General features: G+C 44.2%; 1 protein-coding gene across 8 annotated transcripts in view; it reads right to left on the bottom strand.

Moving 5' to 3' along the window:
• TET1 (tet methylcytosine dioxygenase 1) overlaps nt 1-22,049 on the bottom strand; it is a 134,151-nt gene that overhangs the window by 102,340 nt on the left and 9,762 nt on the right. For all 8 annotated transcript variants that reach the window (XR_001747211.2, XR_001747212.2, XR_001747210.2 and 5 more), the window contains exon 2: nt 17,896-19,931. Coding sequence is in view for 5 of the 8 variants with exons in the window: in NM_001406365.1 (NP_001393294.1) it covers nt 17,896-19,809 (1,914 nt within the window). In the remaining 3 variants the exon portion in view is untranslated. The remainder of the gene's footprint in view (nt 1-17,895; nt 19,932-22,049) is intronic.

Below are 22,049 nucleotides of genomic sequence, written 5' to 3'. Positions count from 1 at the left end.
CAAGGTTTCACCATGTTGGTCAGGCTGGTCTCAAACTCCTGACCTCAGGTGATCCACCCACCTCGGCCTCCCAAAGTTTTGGGATTACAGGCGTGAGCCACCATACCCAGTCAACTCTTTTGTTTTTAAGCTAGAAAACACCCTTGTATAACTAAGTCTCCTAATCAGAGAAAAGCAATTATTTTGAGAATGGATATTATGTAGGCTGTTTTTGTTTGTTTGTTTGTTTGTTTGTTTGTTTTTGAGAGGGAGTCTTGCTCTGTCACCCAGGCTGGAGTGCAGTGGTGTAATCTCGGCTCACTGCAAGCTCTGCCTCTTGGGTTCACACCATTCTCCTGCCTCAGCCTCCAGCCAGTAGCTGGGACTACAGGTGCCCACCACCACGCCCAGCTAATTTTTTGTATTTTTTAGTGGAGACGGGGTTTCACCGTGTTAGCCAGGATGTTCTCAATCTCCTGATCTCATGATCCACCCACCTCGGTCATCCAAAGTGCTGGGATTACAGGTGTGAGCCACTGTGCCCGGCCTTTATGTAGGCTGTTTTTGTTGAGATGAGACCAGTTATTCAGAAAAGGCTTATTTCTTTAGTTTCTAAATTCATTTACTCGAGTCTCACACAATCTATGGAGAAGCAAGATTTGACTGCCTACAAATGAGTTACTCTCTCAGCTGGATGACCCTGTACTGCACAGATGCTTCTGATGTTGGAAGTAGGGGATGCTCTTACTTTGTTCATTCCAGAAATAGAATACAGAACAACAGCTATGTTCGAGGACACTGCTTAATGGCTGTGGTTCTTATTGAAAAGCACTTTTCCATGGAACATAACTCAGATAGAAAAAAGAGAGGAACCAAAAAATAAAAAGACTTATCATTGAACTCATAATATTTACAACAGAATTTCTACAATTAACTTTCCAAAGTCTGTTTGATTTTCCTGATATCCAAATACTTAGTCAATGACACATTAGCTTTTTTTGTTTAAAATGCATAAATGGGATGCGGTGGCTCATGCCTGTAATCCCAGCACTTTGGGAGGCTGAGGCAGGTGGATCACCTGAGGTCGGGAGTTCGAGACCAGCCTGACCAACATGAAGAAACCCCATCTCTACTAAAAATACAAAATTAGCTGAGGGTGGTGGTGCATGCCTGTAATCCCAGCTACTTGGGAGGCTGAGGCAGGAGAATCGCTTGAACCTGGGAGGTGGAGGTTGCAATGAGCCGAGATCGTGCCATTGCACTCCAGCCTGGGCAAGAAGAGCAAAACTCCATCTCAAAAAAGAGAAAAGAGAAGAAAAAAAGAAAAAAAAAAGAAAATAGCTTTATATATTTTTTAAATATTTATTTATTTATTTAGAGACAGGGCCTTGCTCTGTCACCCAGGGTGGTGTACACTAGTGCAGTCATGGCTCAAGGCAGACATGCAGTGAACTCCTGGGCTCAAGTGATCCTTCCACCTCAGCCTCCAATTGTTTTTATGTTTTGTAGAGACAGGGTCTCAATATGTTGCCCAGGCTGGTCTCAAACTCCTGGCCTCAAGTGATCATCCCACCTTGGCCTCTCAAAGTGCTGGGATCTTATACAAAACGAGGATATCCTTGGGGAGATCCAAATCCCAATGATGGGACCATGAGCAAGTCAACCTCCAGTAGACTCAATGGGGGGAAATACTAACATTAGAGTTATATGCAATATTGGATATGAAAAGCATGTAGTAGCTGGGTGTGGTGGCTCATGCCTGTAATCCCAACAATTTGGGAAGCCAAGGCAGGAGGATTGCTTGAGCCCAGGAGTTTGAGACCAGCCTGGGCAACATAATGAGACCCATCTCTAAAACAAAAACAAAAACAAACAAACAAACAAAAACACTAGCCGGGCATGGTGGTACATGCCTCTGGTCCCAGCTACTCAGGAGGCTGAGATGGGAGAATCACTTGAGTCTGGGAGGTCGAAGCTGCAATGAGCCATGATCACACTACTGCACTCCAGACTGGGCAACAGAGCAGGACCCTGTCACACACAAAAAAAGAAAAAAGAAAAGCATGTGTTATGGCACTTGACTCTCAGTCCGTACAACTGTAGCAATGGAGAACCATGGCTGCCACTAATTAAGAAAACAGTGTACACGTAAACCATGTAATGAGCAGTTAAAATTCATTTAATATAAAAATTGGAAGGCCAGGCATGGTGGCTCACACTTGTAATCTCAGCACTTTGGAAAGCCAAGGCAGGCAGAAGGCTTGAGGCCAGGAGTACGAGACCAGCCTGGCCAACACAGTGAAGCCCCATTTCTGCTAAAAATACAAAAAATTAGTGAGCATGGTGGTGCATGCCTGTAGTCCCCGCTACTTGGGAGGTAGAGGCATGAGAATTGCTTGAACCCAAGAGGCAGAGGTTGTAGTGAGCTGAGATGTCACTACTGTATTCCAGCCTGGGTGACAGAGTGAGACTCTTGTCTCCAAAAAAAAAAAAAAAAAAAAAAAAATTGGAGATATTAACCGAGCACAGTATTTTGGGGCACTGGAACCTCTCCCAGAGCACTAAGGCTGGGCTAGGTGGCTCACTCCTGTCAGCCCAGCACTTTGGGAGGCCGAGGCAGGTGGATCACTTGAGCCCAGGAGTTCAAGACCAGCCTGGGCAACACAGTGAAACCCCATCTCTTTTTATAAATTTCTTTTTAAAGTATATATATACACACATATAGATATATGCATCTAAGTATTAAACAAGTTTGCTACTAGTATTGGGATAGGCTAGCTCCATGCTAATTGCATCATAATATAACCTTACACTTATTAAGTAAAAGAGAATAAGAAACTTTCACTTCTAGTGATAATGAAATTGATAATCTGGGAGAAACCTCCTGCTGAAGACAATTAGAAAAGCTGGACAAAATACAAAGTCATCTGCTTGAAGGAATAGGAGAGTGAATGTGAATCATTACCATGATAGTGAAGAATTACCAGACCATGATTCAGAGGGAAATAAGGTCCAGGGAGTGTAAAAACTTTTTCTTTTTTTTCTTTTTTTTGAGAAAGGGTCTTCTGCCCAGGTTGCTGTGCAGTGGTGCAATCATAGCTCACTGCAGCCTCCATCTCCCCAGCTCAAGCAATCCTCTCGCCTCAGCGTCCCTACTAGCTGAGACTACAGGCACTCACCACCATGCCCAGCTAATTCCTGCATTTTTTGTAGAGATGAGGGTCTCAGTTTGTTACCCAGGCTTGTCTCAAACACCAGGGCTCAAGGGATCCTTCTGCCTCAGCCTCCCAAAGTGCTGGGATTACAGCTGTGAGCCACCACACCCAGCCAACATTTTTTTTTTTTTGAGACAGGGTCTCACTAAAAATATTTTAAGTAAAATTAAAAATGGAAAGAGTTAAACACAGTTAAAGGAACACCTTAATATTAAAATATAGCAGCAGTAGAATTGACAAACTCAAAGATTTGAAGTATTTAAATCATGTTAACATTTTTGTTTTTTGTGTGAAATGAAGCTAGAAGATGCTCACATCTCTCCAAATTTAACAAGTCTAAAAGATGACAGCAATAACCTCAACATGACTTATTCCTCAACCAGTCCACCTCTCAGTCTCACTACTCTCCATCTTTTGGGCCTTTCACATTTTCCTCATTGCCTTAGCTCAGAGATATGGTGACTAAAATGAACACATACCATTCAACCCAGGGATTCTAATCCCAGATCAACTATGTTCTTAAGCAAGTTACCTGGCATCTCTAAGCCTCAGTGTCTTACTTTATAAATTAAAGCAGAACATATATTTCATACGATTGTTGTAAGATTGTATGAGACAATGAGCATGTGAGTTCTTAATGCTATACTGCTCACTTAATAAATACTGAATAAGGCTGAGCATAGTGATGCACACCTGTAATCCCTGCACTTTGTGAGTCTGCAGCGGGCAGATTGCTTGAGTCCAGGGTAACATGATAAAACCCCATCTCTATTTCTACATATAAAAAATAAAAGCCAGGCAAGGTGGCCGACGCCTGTAATCTCAGCACTTGGGAGGCCCAGGCGGGTGGATCACGTGAGGTCAGGAGTTCAAGACCCGCCTGACCAACATGGTGAAACCCCACCTCTACTAAAAATACAAAAATTAGCCAGGCGTAATGGTGCGCACCTGTACTCCCAGCTACTTGGGAGGCTGAGGCACGAGAATCTCTTGCACCCAGGAGGCAGAGGTTGCGCCACTGCACTCCAGCCTGGGTGATAGAGTGAGACTGTCTCAAAAAACAAAACAAAACAAAAACAACAAGACGTGTTTCTATTTCCCATTCTGCATAATGAGAATCCGAATACTTACACCTCATGGGTTAGGGTTACTGTCAGCATTGAATACAGTAATAGGAAGTCTTTTATCACTGTGTCTGCCCCTCAAAAAAATGTTAGTCTCCTTCCACCTTCCTTTCCTTTGCCAGCTTCCTGTGTGTGTTTCAAGCAAAGTTTCAATTTTGTTAAAACTGCGTGTACCTAATTAGTAATGAAGTAATGTGAATTAGTAATGTACCTAATTAATAAAGGTTATTGGTTCTTTAAAAAGGAAGAGAAAATAGAACACTATTTTGATTTTCTTGTTTTATTAGTCTGTTTTACCAACTCATAATGCAGTATCAGAGTCTCTAGAAAATGGGAAATAAGGAAAGCAACTTAACTTCTGTGTTGCCCAGTAGACAAATCTCCCTGCAATTCTGTAATAACTCCTGTACAAATTACTTACTCCTCCAAGGATAGAAGAAACCAACAGACACCCGCTTTTTTCTCTAAATCTAACCTATATCCACTCCATCCAAAATTCCATGGCTTGGATCAACTCTGGCCTTCCACTGTCTTGTCCTCCCACTTCCTCGTCCCTTGATCCTACTTTTACAGAAAACTCACCACAATATGGTGTTGCGTATGAAATATGATATGAAAATGAGCTGTATAGTGTAACTGTCTAGAACACAGCAGAAACACCAAAACCCTCTCATTATACAAGCACAAGAAAATAACTGCGGCATAGTCATCTCGCTGGAAACCACAACTATAATTCTGCATCACATGGGAACAGTGAAACCAATTCATTCATAAAGTATCTTAATCCTCCAGCAGGAAAAATGCTTTTGCAGATACTGAGAAATGGTACATATGGAATACTTAGAAAACTTAATTACTTTCCTCTACATAACATGAATAAAATGGCAAGATGGAAAACAGGTGAAAGTAATGAAATAAATACACAAATCTCTTCAAACATATACAATACCCACCACTTTTAAGCATCTGTTGTATAGCAGACACACTGCAAGACGCTTTACAGACATCATCTCTGCTCCTCATGGCATCTCTGCTTTGCAGTATGACTATCTCAATGTTACAAGTAGGTCCACTCTCACACTGTTTACCATATAGGAAATAACTAAATTCTTAGCAAACTGTTTTTTCCTTAACCATAGAAACAATATTCAATTGCATTCCTTCAAATCTGTTAAAAAAAAAAAAAAACTGATGTGAGGCTGGGCACAGTGCCTCATGCCTGTAATACCAGCACTTTGGAAAGCTGGAGGAAAGATCACTTGAGGCCGGGAGTTCAAGACCAGCCTGGGCAACATAGTGAGATCACATTTCTACAAAAAATAAAAATTAAAAAAAAAAAAAAAACGTTAGCTGGCTGGGTGCAATGGCACACGCCTGCAATCCCAGCAAGCTGGGAGGCCGAGGCAAGCAGATCACCTGAGGTCAGGAGTTTGAAACCAGCCTGACCAACATGGTGAAACCCTGTCTCTGCTAAAAATACAAAAATTAGCTGGGAGTGGTGGTTGGCGCCTGTAATCCCAGCTATGAGGGAGGCTGAGGCAGGAGAATCACTTAAACCTGGGAGGTACTGATTGCAGTGAGCCGAGATTGCACCACTGCAATCCAGCCTAGGCAACAGAGCAAGACTCCTTCTCAAAACACAAAACCAAAAACATAAACCAGGCATAGTGGCACACATGTATAGTCCTAGCTAGTTAGGAGGCTGAGGCAGAAGGATCCCTTGAGCCCAGAGGTTCAAGGTTACAGTGAGCTATGACCATGCCACTGCAGCTTAGCCTGGGGACAGAACAACTCTATCTCAAAAAAAAATTTTTTTTTTTTTTTTTTGAGATGGAGTCTGTGTCACCAGACTGGAGTACAGTGGCGCTATCTCAGCTGACTGCAACCTCCGTCTCCAGGGTTCAAGCAATTCTCCTGCCTCAGCCTCCTGAGTAGCTGGGACTACAGGCGCACACCACCATGCCTGGCTAATTTTTGTACTTTTAGTGGAGACGGGGTTTCACCATGTTGGCCAGGATGGTCTCAATCTCTTGACCTTGTGATCGCCCGCCTCAGCCTCCCAAAGTGCTGAGATTACAGGTGTGCGCCACCGTGCCCGGCCCAAAAAAATTTTTTTTAAGTGGTCTGATTCTTTGATTTGTTTTTATTTCAGGGAGTGGACATATGATTTCCTTTCTCTGAAATCCAATACAAGCTATGGGTAAGCTCACCATAAAAAATGCATATAAATGCAATATGCTGCATATAATTCTGAGGGGGTGGGATCACAGACCATTGAAGCCTACCCAGAGTAAGAACCTCTGATGTAGAAGTTGCAGTTTTATGATTTCTAAATCATATGAAAGTATGATGTTGGGATCATTTAAACTAGGATCAAATTCGTTCTAGAAATTCTTGGCCAGGCACAGTGGCTCACATCTGTAATCCCAGCACGTTGGGAAGCTGAGGCAGGCTGATCACCTGACGTCAGGAGTTCAAGACCACCCTGGTCAACATGGTGAAATCACGTCTCTATTAAAAACACAAGACTGGACGCAGTGCCTCACGCCTGTAATCCCAGCACTTTGGGAGGCCGAGACGGGAGGATCACCTGAGGTCAGGAGTTCAAGACCAGCCTGACCAACATGGAGAAGCCCTGTCTCTACTAAAAATACAAAATTAGCCTGGTGTGGTGGCGCATGCCTTTAATCCCAGCTACTCGGGAGGCTGAGGCAGGAGAATCGATTGAACCCGGGAGGCAGAGGATTCAGTGAGCCAAGATCATGCCATTGCACTCAAGACTGGGCAACAATAGCAAAACTCTGACTCGAACAAAGCAAAACAAAACAAAAACACAAAAAAATTAGCTGGGCATGGTGGCAGGCGCCTGTAGTCCCAGCTATTCTGGAGGCTGAGGCAGGAAAATCGCTTGAACCCGGGAGACGGAGGTTGCAGTGAGCTTAGATCGCACCACTGCACTCCAGACTGGGCAACAGGGCGAGATTTTGCCTAAAAAAAAAAAAGAGATATGTGTAGAATAAACTAATACAATGTTGTTTTGGGGTACTAGCTGCTATAGTATACTGCATATGGAATAAAATGTATGGTTTACAGTATACTTTTTTTGTTTTGTTTGTTCCCTGAGACGGAGTCTCACTCTGTCACCCGGGCTGGAGTGCAGTGGTGCGATCTCAGCTCTCTGCAACCTTTGCCTCCTGGGTTCAAGCAATTCTCCTGCCTCAGCCTCCCTCATAGCTGGGATTACAGGTGCATGCCACCACGCCTGGCTAATTTTTGCATTTTTCGTAGAGACGGGGTTTAACCATGTTGGCCAGGCTGGTCTCGAACTTCTGGCCTCAAGTGATCTGCCAGCCCTGGACTCCCAAAGTGCTGGGATTACAGGCCTGAACCACTGCACCCAGCCCATTTTCTTTTTTTTTCTTTTAACAGACATTGTCATATGAAAAATAGGCTGACTCATATGTATTTGTAAGATTTTACTCACTCATGGCCGGGCGCAGTGGCTCACTCCTGTAATCCCAGCACTTTGGGAGGCTGAGGCAGATGGATCACCTGAGGTCAGGAGTTCAAGACCAGCCTGGCCAACATGGTGAAACCCCATCTCTAATAAAAATAAAAAAAAATTAGCTGGGTGTGGTGGGGTGTGCCTATAATCCCAGCTACTCGGGAGGCTGAGACAGGAGAATCGCTTGAACCTGGGAGGCGGAGGTTGCAGTGAGCCGAGATCGCGCCACCGCATTCTAGCCTGGGCGACAAAGCAAGACTGTCTCAAAAAAATTAAAAAAAAAAAAAGATATTTTATTCATTCACTAATTCAATCATTTGTTCAACAAATATTTCTTGAGCACTTGTTATGTGCTGTTAGCACCCCCTAATCCAGGGCTTGGGCTTTGGAAGTTAATATAAGCATGTCTTTTTTTTTTGGAGACAGAGTCTCTGTCGCCAGACTGGTGTGCAGTGGTTCAATCTCAGCTTACTGCAACCTCCGCCTCCCAGGTTCAAGCGATCCTCTTGCCTCAGCCTCCTGAGTAGCTAGGACTACAGACACGCGCCATCATGCCCAGCTAATTTTTGTATTTTTAGTAGAGATGGGGTTTCACCATGTTAGCCAGGATGGTCTTGATCTCTTGACGTCATGATCTGCTTGCCTCGGCCTCCCGAAGTGCTGGGATTACAGGCGAGAGCCACCGTGTCCGGTCAAGCATCTCACTTCTACTGCTCTCTCTGCAGGAGAACATCAGGGCCTTCTTTAGAAACAGTGACTTGGTGTTAATGGTGCATAATTAAATCAGTAAAAAGCAAAATTTCTCTTTTGTTGCACTCATAGCAGACATGAAAAGCTGATGATAATTAGCCAACACCTTCTGGATATGTCTTGAGCACTGGGTCTCATTGTCAAGGTAATGCCCTGAATTGTTTAGATTAGTCTGATTCATTTGGAAGTTGTGTCTTATTTTAGTATGATAATAATGCAAAAGGAGATGCTTTCTCCTACCCCTCCTGGTAACATTTGTGCCATTATCCATCATAGTCCCACAGTGGCTGGCTACTTGAAAAGGACTTTTGCAGCTTTGATATAGTCAATTCTTGAAATACCACCCTGGAATAAAAAACCAAAAGCCTGACCAACAAAAAGAGATCTGAAGTTAAGCCCTGCAGCAAAATAAACATGCACGATAATAGGGTGCTCAATATTACATCACAGTGTAACTTGGATTATGCTGACACTAGATGAAGATGTTGGCCAGTTTTACAAATTTTTCTTCCTGGAAAAGATAACACATACGAAATGACAGGGTAAGATTTGAACTGCTGTGACAAAATTTCAGAAATTAACACCCATGGGTCAGAATCAGTCTACATGCCTTTATACTGACAAACTTGGAGGTTATACACGAATATCTACTAAACAACAAAAGTTTGTTTTTTGGTTTTTTTCCCCAAGTCCAGTTCTGTGGTGCAGTATGCTACTGAAGTCTCAGTAGTGATACAAAGAGATTCCTTAAAGGCATATTTAAGTACATATAACATCTGCCCTCAATTGAAAGAGTTGGTAGCAAAAATTTGTTCCATATGCCATATGTAACATATGCCATAATGAGATACGGCTGTTTGAAAACTGAGAAAAGCAATGGCCAAGAGAGGCTAGCCCCACCCCCACTGCCACCAAAAGGGATAAAATAATACAAGTGTGTCAAGTAATTCTGAAATGACAGCCCTGGAACTAGACAATTATCACATGGAAAGGCCTGCACATAAAATAGTGGACAGTCAGTCGTTCAATTTGTATCATATTAACACTACTTAACTTTTTAGCTCCTGAAACACAGCCCATGTAGGTATTACAATTTTTTTTCCAGTGGAATTTGCATTAATTAAGAGGCTAGCGTGGTAATGAACATGGCACATTAGCTGACTTAATAGTGTCATCTAAGGCCAGGTGCGGTGGCTCATGCCTGTAATCCCAGCTCTTTGGGAGGACGAGGTGGGCGGATCACCTGAGGTTAGTTCAAGACCAGCCTGACCAACATGGAGAAACATTGTCTCTACTAAAAATACAAAATTAGCCAGGCGTAGTGGTGCATGCCTGTAATCCCAGCTACTCGGGAGGCTGAGGCAGGAGAATTGCTTGAATCCAGGAGGTGGAGGTTGTGGTGACCAAGATTGTGCCATTGCACAACAGCTTGGGCAACAAGAGCAAAACTCCATTTCCATAAAAAAAAAAAAAAAATAGTGTCATCTAATATGCTTCTATTTAAACTAACCAAGTACATAATAGCCCTTTAATATTTTAGACAAAAAATACATTAACCAGAGTAAATATGAGAGATTATTTCAGTTTGACTAAACTTGCAAACTAATTGTCCAGTCATTCAATGAAAGTTAATTAAATGCATGATACTACACCAAAATCACCTGGCTAGAGATATATGAAGACCCTATCTTCAGGGATATAGTCCACGACTTTAGATTGCTTTCCTTTTTTTTTTTTTGAGACACGGTCTCACTCTGTCGCCCAGGCTGTAGTGTGATCTAAGCTCACTACAGCCTCCACCTCCTGAGCTCAAGCTATCCTCCTGCCTCAGCCTCCCGAGAAGCTGGTACTATAGGCACATGCCACCATGCGCAGCTAATATTTTTGTATTTTTTTGGAGAAACGGGGTTTCACCATGTTGCCTGGGCTGGTCTCCAATGCCAGGGCTCAAGCAATCTGCCTGCCACGGCCTCCTAAAGTGGTGGGGTTACAGGCATGTGCCAGTCCCCATGGCCAATTTTGTTTTCTTTGGCTTTCACACATACTAAAAATTACTTGTGAAAGTGTAGCTTAGCCAAAGCACCTACTCTCTAATGTCTGCGAATAGCTCTACAGTCCCCCGTTCCTTTTTTGTAACAATCTCTCACTGTTCAATAAATAGGGTAGTGCATATGTTTCAAAATGCACTACCCTATTTATAGTATTTTCAAAATTACAAACACATAGAAGGAAAACCCTAACCGAAAGCAAATTCCTAGATGACTGAGAGTGACAAAGCTAGCAGTTTTAATTATCTGTAATTCTGAACATCAAGAAGAGTAAGCTGAATTAGGCTTGACAGATGACAAATTAAGTTTTTTTCCATGACCAAAAGATACCTCTCAGAAGATTACATAACACACTGTCATACAATTAAAGAATGGGAGACTACAATGTAATCTATGACTTAATAAAGTCTAAGGTTGTTTTCACTTATCCGAGGAGTTAGCAGTCAACATTCTGAGAAATGGTACATGGCTTTAGGGGCTAAATATATTTTATTTCTTACAGGCAACCTTCAAACGAGAATAAATTCAGAGACTCCTTCAGAATTTACACATATTTTCTGAGACACAGTCTCACTGCCACCAAGGCTAGAGTGCGGTGGAGAGATCACAGCTCACTGCAGCCTCAACCTCCCAGGCTCAAGCCATCTGCCACCTCAGCCTCCTGAGTAGTTGGGATTACAAAAGTGTGGGCCACCATCACGCCATATATATATATATATATTTTTTTTTTTTTTTTTTTTTTTTGAGATGGAGTTTCGCTCTTGTTGCCCAGGCTGGAGTGCAATGGTGCGATCTTGGCTCACCCCAACCTCCGTCTCCTGGGTTCACGCCATTCTCCTGCCTCAGCCTCCCAAATAGCTGAGATTATAGGCATGCACCACCACACCCGGCTAATTTTTTTTGAATTTTTGGTAGAGATGGGTTTTCACCATGTGGCCAGGCTGGTCTTGAACTCCTGACCTCAAGTGATCTACCTTCCTTGGCCTCCCGAAGTGCTAGGATTACAGGCATGAGCCACCGTGCCCGGCCTTCTACAAAAGATTTTTAAGTTGGCCAGACATGTGCCTGTAGTACCAGCTACTGGGAGGCTGAGGTGGGTGAATGACTTGAGCCCGGAGGTCAGGGCTGCAGTGAGCCATGACCATGCCACCTCACTCCAACCTGGGTGACAGAGCAAGACTCTGTCTCAAAAAAAAAAAAAAAAAAAAAAAAATTGAATATAATAAAAATGCATTGGTTCATACTGAAAAATAAGATAAAAATTAATAATAAAATAGGCCAGGTGAAAGAGTGAGACTCGGCCGGGCACAGTGGCTCATGCCTATAATCCCAGCACTTTGGGAGGCCAAGGGGGGTGGATCACCTGAGGAGAGGAGTTTGAGACCAGCCTGACCAACATGGAGAAACCCCATCTCTATTAAAAATACAAAATTAGCTGGGCGTGGTGGTGTGCACCTGTAATCCCAGCTACTAGGTAGGCTGAGGCAGGAGAATGACTTGAATCCGGGAGGCAGAGGTTCCAGTGAGCTGAGATTGCACCACTGCACTCCAGCCTGGGCAACAAGAGTGAAATTCTATCTGAAAAAAAAAAAAAGAAGAAGGAAGGTGTGAGAGTCTGTCTCAAAAAAAGAAGAGAGAGAAAGGAAGAAGGGCATCACTTGGGCCTGGAGACTGAGGCAAGAGTATGCACTGGGGAAATGTATGCAGTCGTATACTGCTGCAGCAAGTAGAAGGTGAAGATACATGAAGGCAAACAAGACAGAAGTGGGTTTTGCAAAAATCTTAAAGGTGCTGTATTCCCTGCTAATGAATCTAGGCTTCATCTAATCATTCGAAGGCCCTGAAAGTTTTGCTCTATTTCTTTTATTTTGAGTGAAATATATCACATAAAGAGAACACTACATGTAGTTAGATAGGAGAATCATGTTTTTCAGAAGGAAAACTTGAACTCCCCTAAGGGGAGCTTGTTATTCAGCTTCCTGATTTCCCTGGTGGCTAGAATGCTCATGATTGGATTTCCAGTGCATAGCCTAGGAGAAGTGCAATACTTGTTGATAGTAAAGATAGCACTGAAGTTATCCTGATGAAGAAATAAAGGCCTCAATATAGCAGTGGCCAAGAAAATGGAGAGGTGGTAGCGCTCAGAACTTGTAGAACAAGAGAATTTGGATGGATGAGCAAAGGAGGCGAGGATACTGAATATTCTATTTTGGGTAATCATTTGTTATGGCACTGAACCAAACATGTAATGCAAGAGAAAGAGCAGGTTTGAGAAAGAATAGAACAAATGTGTTCATATCCATTAGAGATACAGTGTTTTTTACAATGATGTCATTTGGCAATGCTACAAACCAGTAACTTACAAGGGAGGTCTCTCTACTAGAGATATTGCTAAATGTTACTTTGTAAACCATCAGTAACTGGCCACATTTTATCTATTCCCACATGTGTGACGTGACTTGATTGAGTAAAAGATTATACATTTCAGTAAGGTAGTTATTATTTTTTTTCAGACAGGGTCTTGCTATGTCACCCAGGCTGGAGTGCAGTGGCGCGATCATAGCTCACTGCAACCTCAGCTTCACAGGTTCACGCAATCTTCCCACCTCAGCATCCCAAGTAGCTGGGACCACAGGCATGAGCTATCACGCCCGGCAAATTTTTTCTTTTTTTTAAATTTTGGGGCTGGGCATGGTGACTCATGCCTACAATCCCAGCACCCCAAGTTAGACCAGAAATTGGCAATTAGCAACACTATTCAAAGCAAAAGCATCCCCTTTGTCCCCCATGTGTATCCGTCACTCAGCATCAAATAAGATCTTTTTCCATTTTGCTCCTGAAAATGTCTGAATGGGTGGCTTTGTCCAAATCCTAGCTAAATGTAAAAATTCTTATCAGGACTCGTTAAAAACTTCAAAATCTGTCCTTGCCATGGTTGGGGCTTTAAAAAAAGAATTAAAATATTATAAAGAATCAAAAATCAGCCACGCGCAGTAATCGCAGCACTTTGTGAGGCCGAGGCAGGCAGATCACCTGAGTCAGGAGTTCATGACCAGGCTGGCCAACGTGGTGAAACCTCGTCTCTACTAAAAATACAAAAATTAGCCGGGCATGGTGGCAGGTGCCTGTAATCCCAGCTACTCGGCAGGCTGAGGCAGGAGAATTGCTTGAACCCGGGAGGTGGAGGTCGCAGTGAGCTGAGATCACGCCACTGCACTCCAGCCTGGGTGACAGAGCGAGACTTTGTCTCAAAAATAAATAAATAAAATAAAATAAAATAAAATTTTGGTGTAGAGGTTTATGTCGCTATGTTGCCCAGTTTATTTATCTCAAAGTCTTGGGCTCAAGCAATCCTCTTGCCAGCCACCGCGCCCAGCATACATTGGCCTCTCTCAAAGTGCTGGGATTACAGGCTCAGTAAGATTTTTTACAACAAAGTATTTTAGAAACACTTTAAATGCCCATCAATACATGATTTATTAAATGTCTGATTTCTCATTTGCAGTGGCTCAGACAAATAAAAAATCAGTGTTATTTATTTATTTATTGAGACAGGGTCAGGCTCTGTCACTGAAGCTGGTATGCAATGGTGCCATCATAGCTAACTGCAGCCTTGAACTCTTGGGCTCAAGCTATCCTCCCACCTCAGCCTCTCATGTAACTGGGAATACAGGTGCATGCCAACATACCCAGATATGTTTTTTTGTTTCTTGTTTTTTGAGACAGTGTCTTGCTCTGTCGCCCATGCTGGAGTGCAATTATGCGATCTTGGCTCACTGCAACGCCCCCCTCCAGGTTCAAGCGATTCTCCTGCCTTAGCCTCCAGAGTAGCTGGGATTAACAGGTGGGCACCACCATGCTCTGCTATTTTTTGTATTTTTAGTAGAGACAGGGTTTCACCATGTTGGCCAGGCTGGTCTCAAACTCCTGACCTCAGGTGATCTGCCTGCCTTGGCCTCCCAAAGTTCTGGGATTCTAGGAGTGAGCCAATGCACCCGGCCCAGCTATGATTTTGTTTGTTTGTTTGTTTTTTGTTTTTTGATGAGGTCTTGCTATGTTGCTTATGTTGGTCTCAAACTCCTGGCCTCAAGTAATCCTCTCCCCTCAGCCTCTCGAAGTGCCACAAGCAGCCAAAATCAGCATTTTTAAACTGATAATTTAAGTCAAGAATGAAATAGAAGGCCAGGCACGGTGGCTCACGCCTGTAATCCCAGCACTTTGGGAGGCCAATGCAGGCAGATCATCTGAGGTCAGGAGATGGAGACCAGCCTGGCCAACATGGCAAAACCCTGTCTCTATTAAAAATACAAAAATTAAGGCTGGGCACGGTGGCTCACGCCTGTAATCCCAGCACTTTGGGAGGCCAAGGCGGGTGGATCGTGAGGTCAGGAGATCGGGACCATCCTGGCTAACACGGTGAAACCCTGTCTCTACTAAAAATACAAAAAAAATTAGCCGGGCGCGGTGGCGGGCACCTGTAGTCACAGCTACTCAGGAGGCTGAGGCAGGAGAATGGCGTGAACCCAGGAGGCAGAGCTTGCAGTGAGCCGAGATCGCGCCACTGCACTCCAGCCTGGGCAACAGAGTGAGACTCTCTCAAAAAAAAAAAATACAAAAATTAGCCAGGTATGGTGGTGGGTGCCTGTAATCCCAGCTATGCAGGAGGTTGAAGCAAGAGAGAATCACTTGAACTTGGGAGGGAGAAGTTGCTTGAACTTGGGAGCCGAGATCATGCCACTGTACTTCAGCCTGGGTGACAGAGTGAGACTCTGTCTCAGAAAAGAAAATGAAAAACAAAAAAAGAAATAGAAACAGTTTCCTGAATTTTAAGTTCACAGTACTTTTTATTTATTTATTTATTTTTGAGACAGGGTCTCATTGCTGTCAACCAGGCTGGAATGCAGTGGCACCATCACTGTTCACTGCAGCCTTGACTTCCCAGGATCAGGCGATCCTCTCACTGCAGCCTCCCAAGTAGTTGGGACTACAGGAGCGTGCCATCACACCCAGTTAGTTTTGTATCTTTAGTAGAGATGAGGTCTTGCTATGTTGCCCAGGCTGATTTCGACCTCCTAGGCTCAAGCAGTCCACCTGCCTGAGCCCTCCCAAAGTGCTGAGATTACAGACATGAGCCACCATGCCTGGCCTAAACCTCACAATACTTTTTTTTTTTTTTTTGAGACAGGGTCTCTCTGTTGCCCCTGCTGGAGTGCAGTGGCGCAACCTCCACTCGCTGCAACTTCTGCTTCCGAGGTTCAAGTGATTCTTGTGCCTGAGCCTCCAAAGTAGCTTGGACTACAGGCATGCACCACCACTCCTGGCTAATTTTTGTATTGTTAGTAGAGATGGGGTTTTGCCAGGTTGGCCAGGCTGGTCTCGAACTCCTCAAGTGATCTGTCCACCTCAGCCTCCCAAAGTTCTGGGATTACAGGTGTGAGCCACCATGACCAGCCTCACAACACTTTTATTTATTCATTTATTTATTTATTTAATTTTTTTTTTTTTTTGAGATGGAGTCTCACTCTGTCACCCAGGCTGGAGTGCAGTGGCACAATCTCGGCTCACTGCAAGCTCCGCCTCCCGGGTTCACGCCATTCTCCTGCCTCAGCCTCCCCAGCAGCTGGAACTGCAGGCGCACGCCGTCACGCCCGGCTAATTTTTGTATTTTTAGTAGAGACGGGGTTTCACCGTGTTAGCCAGGATGGTCTCGATCTCCTGACCTTGTGATCGGCCCACCTCGGCCTCCCAAAGTACTGGGATTACAGGTGTGAGCCACCGCGCCCGGCCTATTTATTTATTTATTTATTTATTTATTTATTTATTTGAGATGGAGTTTCACTCTTGTTGTCCAGGCTGTAGTGCAGTGGCACGATGACGTCTCACTGAAACCTCCGCCTCCCGGGTTCAAGCGATTCTACTGCCTCAGCCTCCTGAGTAGCTGGGACTACCAGTGTGCACCACTATGCCCAGCTAATTTTGTATTTTTAGTAGAGATGGGGTTTCACCCCATGTTGGTCTCGAACTCCTGACCTCAAGTGATCCGCCACCTTGGCCTCCCAAAGTCCTGGGATTACAGGTGTAAACCACCATGCCCAACCACAATACTTTATTTATTTATTTATTTATTTATTTATTTATTTTTGAGACAGAGTTTCGCTTTTGTGGCCTAGGCTGGAATGCAATGGCGCAATCTTGGCTCACTGTAACCTCTGCCTCCTGGGTTCAAGTGATTTTCCTGCCTCAGCCTCCAGAGTAGCTGGGATTACAGGCACCCGCCACCACGCCCAGCTAATTTTTGTGTTTTTAGTAGAGATGGGGTTTCACCACGTCAGCCAGGCTCGTCCCAAACTCCTGACCTCAGGTGATCTGCCCGCCTCGGCCTTTCAAAGTGTTGGGATTACAGGCGTAAGCCACCACACCAGGCCTACAATACTTCTAAGTCCATCTATTCTACCATACCTGCATTCATAGTAGATGTAATAAACATAACTTTAATGCGTGATCTAAAAATCACAAAACATCATATTTGACAGGTGTTTCAAAAGGCCAAAAAAGCAATACTGGGTTTTAACCAAGCTCCCTAAAAGTTTTTAAATAAATTCTAAATCAACAGATCCTTTAACTACCTTAGGTTCATAAACTATAATAAGAACTAATGTTTGTGTATCACTTTGGAGTTTACAAGCCATTTTCCTTTAATCCCAACAACCCTATGAGGTTGGTAGAGCAGGTAGAAATCACTCACCAAAAGTTGAGACAAAAGCTGTATTATTGCTATGTCTCCAAAACAAAGTTTCAAGATTAGGGATGCAACTGTGTTCTTTCAAAAGGAAAGATGTTTAATTCCTCTGGTTTTTCAGGCTGCTATGGAGTTAATGAATTTGTTCCACTCTTAATTTTTAAATCTGTGACTGCCAAAAAAGACATGCAACTAGCCAAAAGAGGCATAGGGGAAATCTCTGCAAAAACACATTTCATACAATTTCTCTATGTTTCCATCAAATCCTGTAATGAGAAAAAAACTGTATGTTCTAGTTTTCTGGGACAAATTCTAAAAATAAGCTAGCTAAGGCATCACTGCACAAGACATACTTCAGGTAGGTCCAGGAATTCTTTTATGGATAACTTAAAGTAACATTGTACCAAAGTAAAAATATGTAATAGTGAAGCAATTCACTATTACATAGAGACACTAGAGACACTAGAAGTGTCTCTGCATATAGATCACTATACCAAGTGTCAGCTGTCTCCCAGCCCCTTGACTGTTTGCTTACCTCCAGAGGCACAACAACAGATGGTTTCTTTTTCAGCTCCTCACATTTTCTTTTCTTACAGATCTGATGGCTGTTCTTTCTGTTCTTGCAGTAAGTGCATTCACCACAGTTGGTCTTCTGCTGGCAGGGTTCACAGACCCCACATCGCTTTCTTTTCTTCTTTTCCAAAGTCGGTAGCAAAGTGGTATAGGAAGAAGAGGAGGTACTGACCATTGGCACTGGCATAGTCACCACTGTGGTGTTGACAACATGAACTGTGCTGGTTACACTGACCTGGGAGCTCCCTCTGTCTGATTTGCTAGGACCAGCCTGAGAGAGTTGGGCTATACCCAGTGAAGCATGGAAGAGTCCTCTCTCAGGGGCTAATGGGAACCCCTGAGTGTTAGCTGGCAGGAAGCTTATATGAACCTGCTTCTCATTTTCTACATTGCTTATAGCCATTACTGGAGGTAATGAATTTTTCTCTGAGTTTGATGATGATTGAGGAGTGTGTCCTGAGCCCAAAGGCAAAATCTGTATAGCACCCTGGACTGCAAGTCCATATGAGACAGTGCTTTGGGGCTCAGGCCATTTGGAAGGAGCATTAAAGGTAGCAATTGGATTTGGAGGAACAGGAAGGAAGACAGGCAAGTCTGGGACAACACTCCCACTCATACCAAGAGTTTCTTGTTGGTCTAAAATAGTACCAAAGACCTCTCCTTGGACTGGAATAGCACCAGGAATCTCTGGTAGATCTGGGGTCTCACCCAGGGCCTCACCATGAACTGGGTCAGCACCAGGAAGTTCCCATTGATGTGGGATAGCACCAAAGGCCTGTCCTAGGAAAGAGGTGGTATCAGAAACTTCCTGTTGATTTGCAGTAGCTTCGAAGGCCTCTTGATGATCTGGTTTAGCACCAAGGGTCGCTTGTTTTGAGCCTGCCAAGAGGAATTTTATTACAGAGGTAGGAGACGTAGACCCACCAAGAGCCAAGCAGTTTCTAAGGTTCAAGTCAGGTATAACCTTATTAAGACTGGAGGTGGGGTAGCAATCATGTTCACTTTTAATGGGATCCAGGTAAGAATCAGATAACTTAAGAGATTCTACTCGTGAACCCAACTCTTCTAACTGAATGCTGGGGTTTCCTTGAGAGGTAACTTTGGGGGTTGCTCTTTGGGGAAAAGGAGCACACACTGTGTCCTGAGCAAACATTTTTGGGGAACCACTGGTATCATTCAATGTCTCTTCAGAGAATAGTCCTTCACCACAGCGTGTCCCTTCCAGTGGCCCAGGAAGGATCTCAGCTGCAGGGCCACTGTGGGTAGGGATATTGATCTTGGAATCCTCAACTCTTTGGGACCAAAACTGAGTTGTCTCTTGGCTCTTACCTTTAAGTAAAGAGGGATTTTGTACACCAATTAGAGTCTCTATATCAGGAAGGACTTGGGTGTCTTGCATTGGAACCGAATCATTTTCTGAGTGCTTTACTCCCAAAGCAGGGAGTATCTTATAATCACAATCATGTTGCTTTTCTAAACCCTTAGAAAGTGGAACCTTTTTGGATTTGGCTACGACCAGTGGGGGTTGGGAGAGTCGCCTGCTAAGAGAGGTGCTTCGTAGCGCCATTGTAAACCCATTGCAGGTTAAGGACTCTGGGTTCTGAAAAAGAACCTCAGTCCTATCCAAATTCATGCGTGCTGCTCCAGCTCTTGTCAGAAGGCTTCTGACTGGCACGGGTGGTTTAGGTTCTGTTTTTTTCTTAACATCTCTTTCTTGAATTAATTGCTTTAATTTTCCAGGGCTTAAAGTCTTGACTGATGCCACATTTTTGTTGGCTCCCTTGGTTGTCTTTCGTAGTTGGCTGTTTTTCTTTTTTTTGTTTACATCTTCCTTCCTGACTAATCTGGAAGGCCTTGCATGGCGGGATCGAGACATAGCTACAGAGTAGGAAAAAATGAAAGGGCGCAGGAAACAGAGTCATTGGTCCTTTGGAAAGTCTCACTTCTGAGGAGAATCTGGATGCACTGCTCTTCAGCTCAGTCACACAAGGTTTTGGTCTGAAATAACAACAGAATACACTGAAGTGAGTCTTTTTCCTATGCATTCCCCTATTTGAAATAGAATATTCACTACTAATTGTTTTATTTTATTTTTTTGAGACAGGGTCTCATTCTGTTGCCCAGGCTGGAGTGCAGAGGCATGATCACAGCTCAGCACAGCCTGGACCTACCCAGGCTCAAGCAATCTTCCCACTTCAGCCCCCCAAGTAGCTAGGACTGCAGGCTCACACCATCACACCTGGCTAATTTTTGTATTTTTTGTAGAGACATGTTTTCGCCATGTTGCCCTGGCTGGTCTCTAACTGGGCTCAAGCCATCCACCCACCTTGGCCTCCCCTAGTGCTGGGATTACAGGTGTGAACCAGCGTGCCCGGCCAGTTAAAAGTAAGGACCAGGAGCAGTGTTTCATGCCTGTGATCCCAGCATTTTAGGAGACTGAGGCAGGAAGATGACTTGAGGCCAGGAGTTCAAGACCAGCTTGGGCTACATAGGCAGACTCCAACTCATAAAAACAGTGGCCAGGTGCGGTGGCTCATGCCTGTAATCCCAGCACTTTGGGAGGCCAAGGCAGGTGGATCATGAGGTCAGGAGTTTGAGACCAGCCTGGCCAACATGGTGAAACCCCATCTCTACTAAAAATACAAAAATTGCCAGGCGCAGTGGCTCACGCCTGTAATCCTAGCACTTTGGGAGCCTGAGGTGGTCAGGAGTTTCAGACTAGCCTGGCCAAAAAAAAAAAAAAATTAGCTGAGTGTGGTGGTGCACACCTATAATCTCAACTACTCAGGAGGCTGAAGCAGGAGAATCACTTGAACCCAGGAGGCGGAGATTGCGGTGAGCCGAGATTGCGCCATTGCACTCCAGCCTGGGTGACAGAGTGAGACTCCATCTCAAAAAATAAAATGAAATAAAATAAAATAACAGGGCTGGGCGTGGTGGCTCATGCCTGTAATCCCAGCACTTTGGGAGGCCGAGGTGGGTGGGTCACCTGAGATCAGAAGTTCGAGACCAGCCTGGCCAACGTGTCAAAACCCTGTCTCTACTAAAATACAAAAATTAGCCAGACGTGGTGGCAGGCGCCTGTAATCCCAGCTACTCAGGAGGCTAAGGCAGGAGAATCTCTTGAACCCAGGAGACGGAGGTTGCAGTGAGCCGAGATTGCACCATTGCACTCCAGCCTGGGTGACACAGCGAGACTCCATCTCAGAAAAATAATAATAAAATAAAATAAATAAAATAAAATAACAAAAATAGAAAATGACAAAAATTTAAAAATAATTAGGCCAGGCGCGGTGGTTCACACCTGTAATCCCAGCACTTTGGAAGGCTGAGGCAGGCAGATCAGGAGGTCAGGAGATCGAGACCATCCTGCCTAACACGGTGAAACCCCATCTTTACTAAAAATACAAAAAAAAAATGAGCTGGGCGTGGCGGCGGGTGCCCGTAGTCCCAGCTACTCAGGAGGCTGAGGCAGGAGAATGGCGTGAACCCGGGAGGCGGAGCTTGAAGTGAGCCAAGATCACGCCACTGCACTCCAGCCTGGGTGACAGAGCAAGACTCTGTCTCAAAAAAAAAATTAAAAATAATTAAAATCATGGAACTGAGAATTGTTTACTGCAAAAGAAAAATATAATCAACACAGAAAGTACTAAAATATCCCAAGTGAATTAATGCAGGGACAGAAAACCAAATATCTGATGTTCTCACTTATCAGGTACTCATGGACATAAAGATGGCCATAATAGACACTGGGGACTACTAGAGAAGGAGGGAGGGATGGAGACAAGGGTTGAAAAACTATCCGGTACTGGCTGGGCGCGGTGGCTCACGCCTGTAATCCCAGCACTTTGGGAGGCCGAGGCAGGTGGATCACCTGAGGTCAGGAGTTTGAGACCAGCCTGGCCAACATGGTGAAACCCCGTCTCTACCAAAAATACAAAAATTAGCCGGGCGTGGTGGCAGGCGCCTGTAATCCCAGCTACTCCGGAGGCTGAGGCAGGAGAATCACTTGAACCCGGGAGGCAGAGGTTGCAGTGAGCTGAGATTGCACCATGGCACTCCAGCCTGGGTGACAGAGCAAGACTCCATCTCAAAAAAAAAGAAAAAAAAAAGAAA

The sequence above is a fragment of the Homo sapiens genome, chromosome 10, assembly GCF_000001405.40.
Source record: "Homo sapiens chromosome 10, GRCh38.p14 Primary Assembly".
Taxonomy (NCBI): Eukaryota; Metazoa; Chordata; class Mammalia; order Primates; family Hominidae; genus Homo; species Homo sapiens.
The sequence above is the reverse complement of the archived record's forward strand: the minus strand, read 5'-3'. Positions and strand labels throughout refer to the sequence as shown.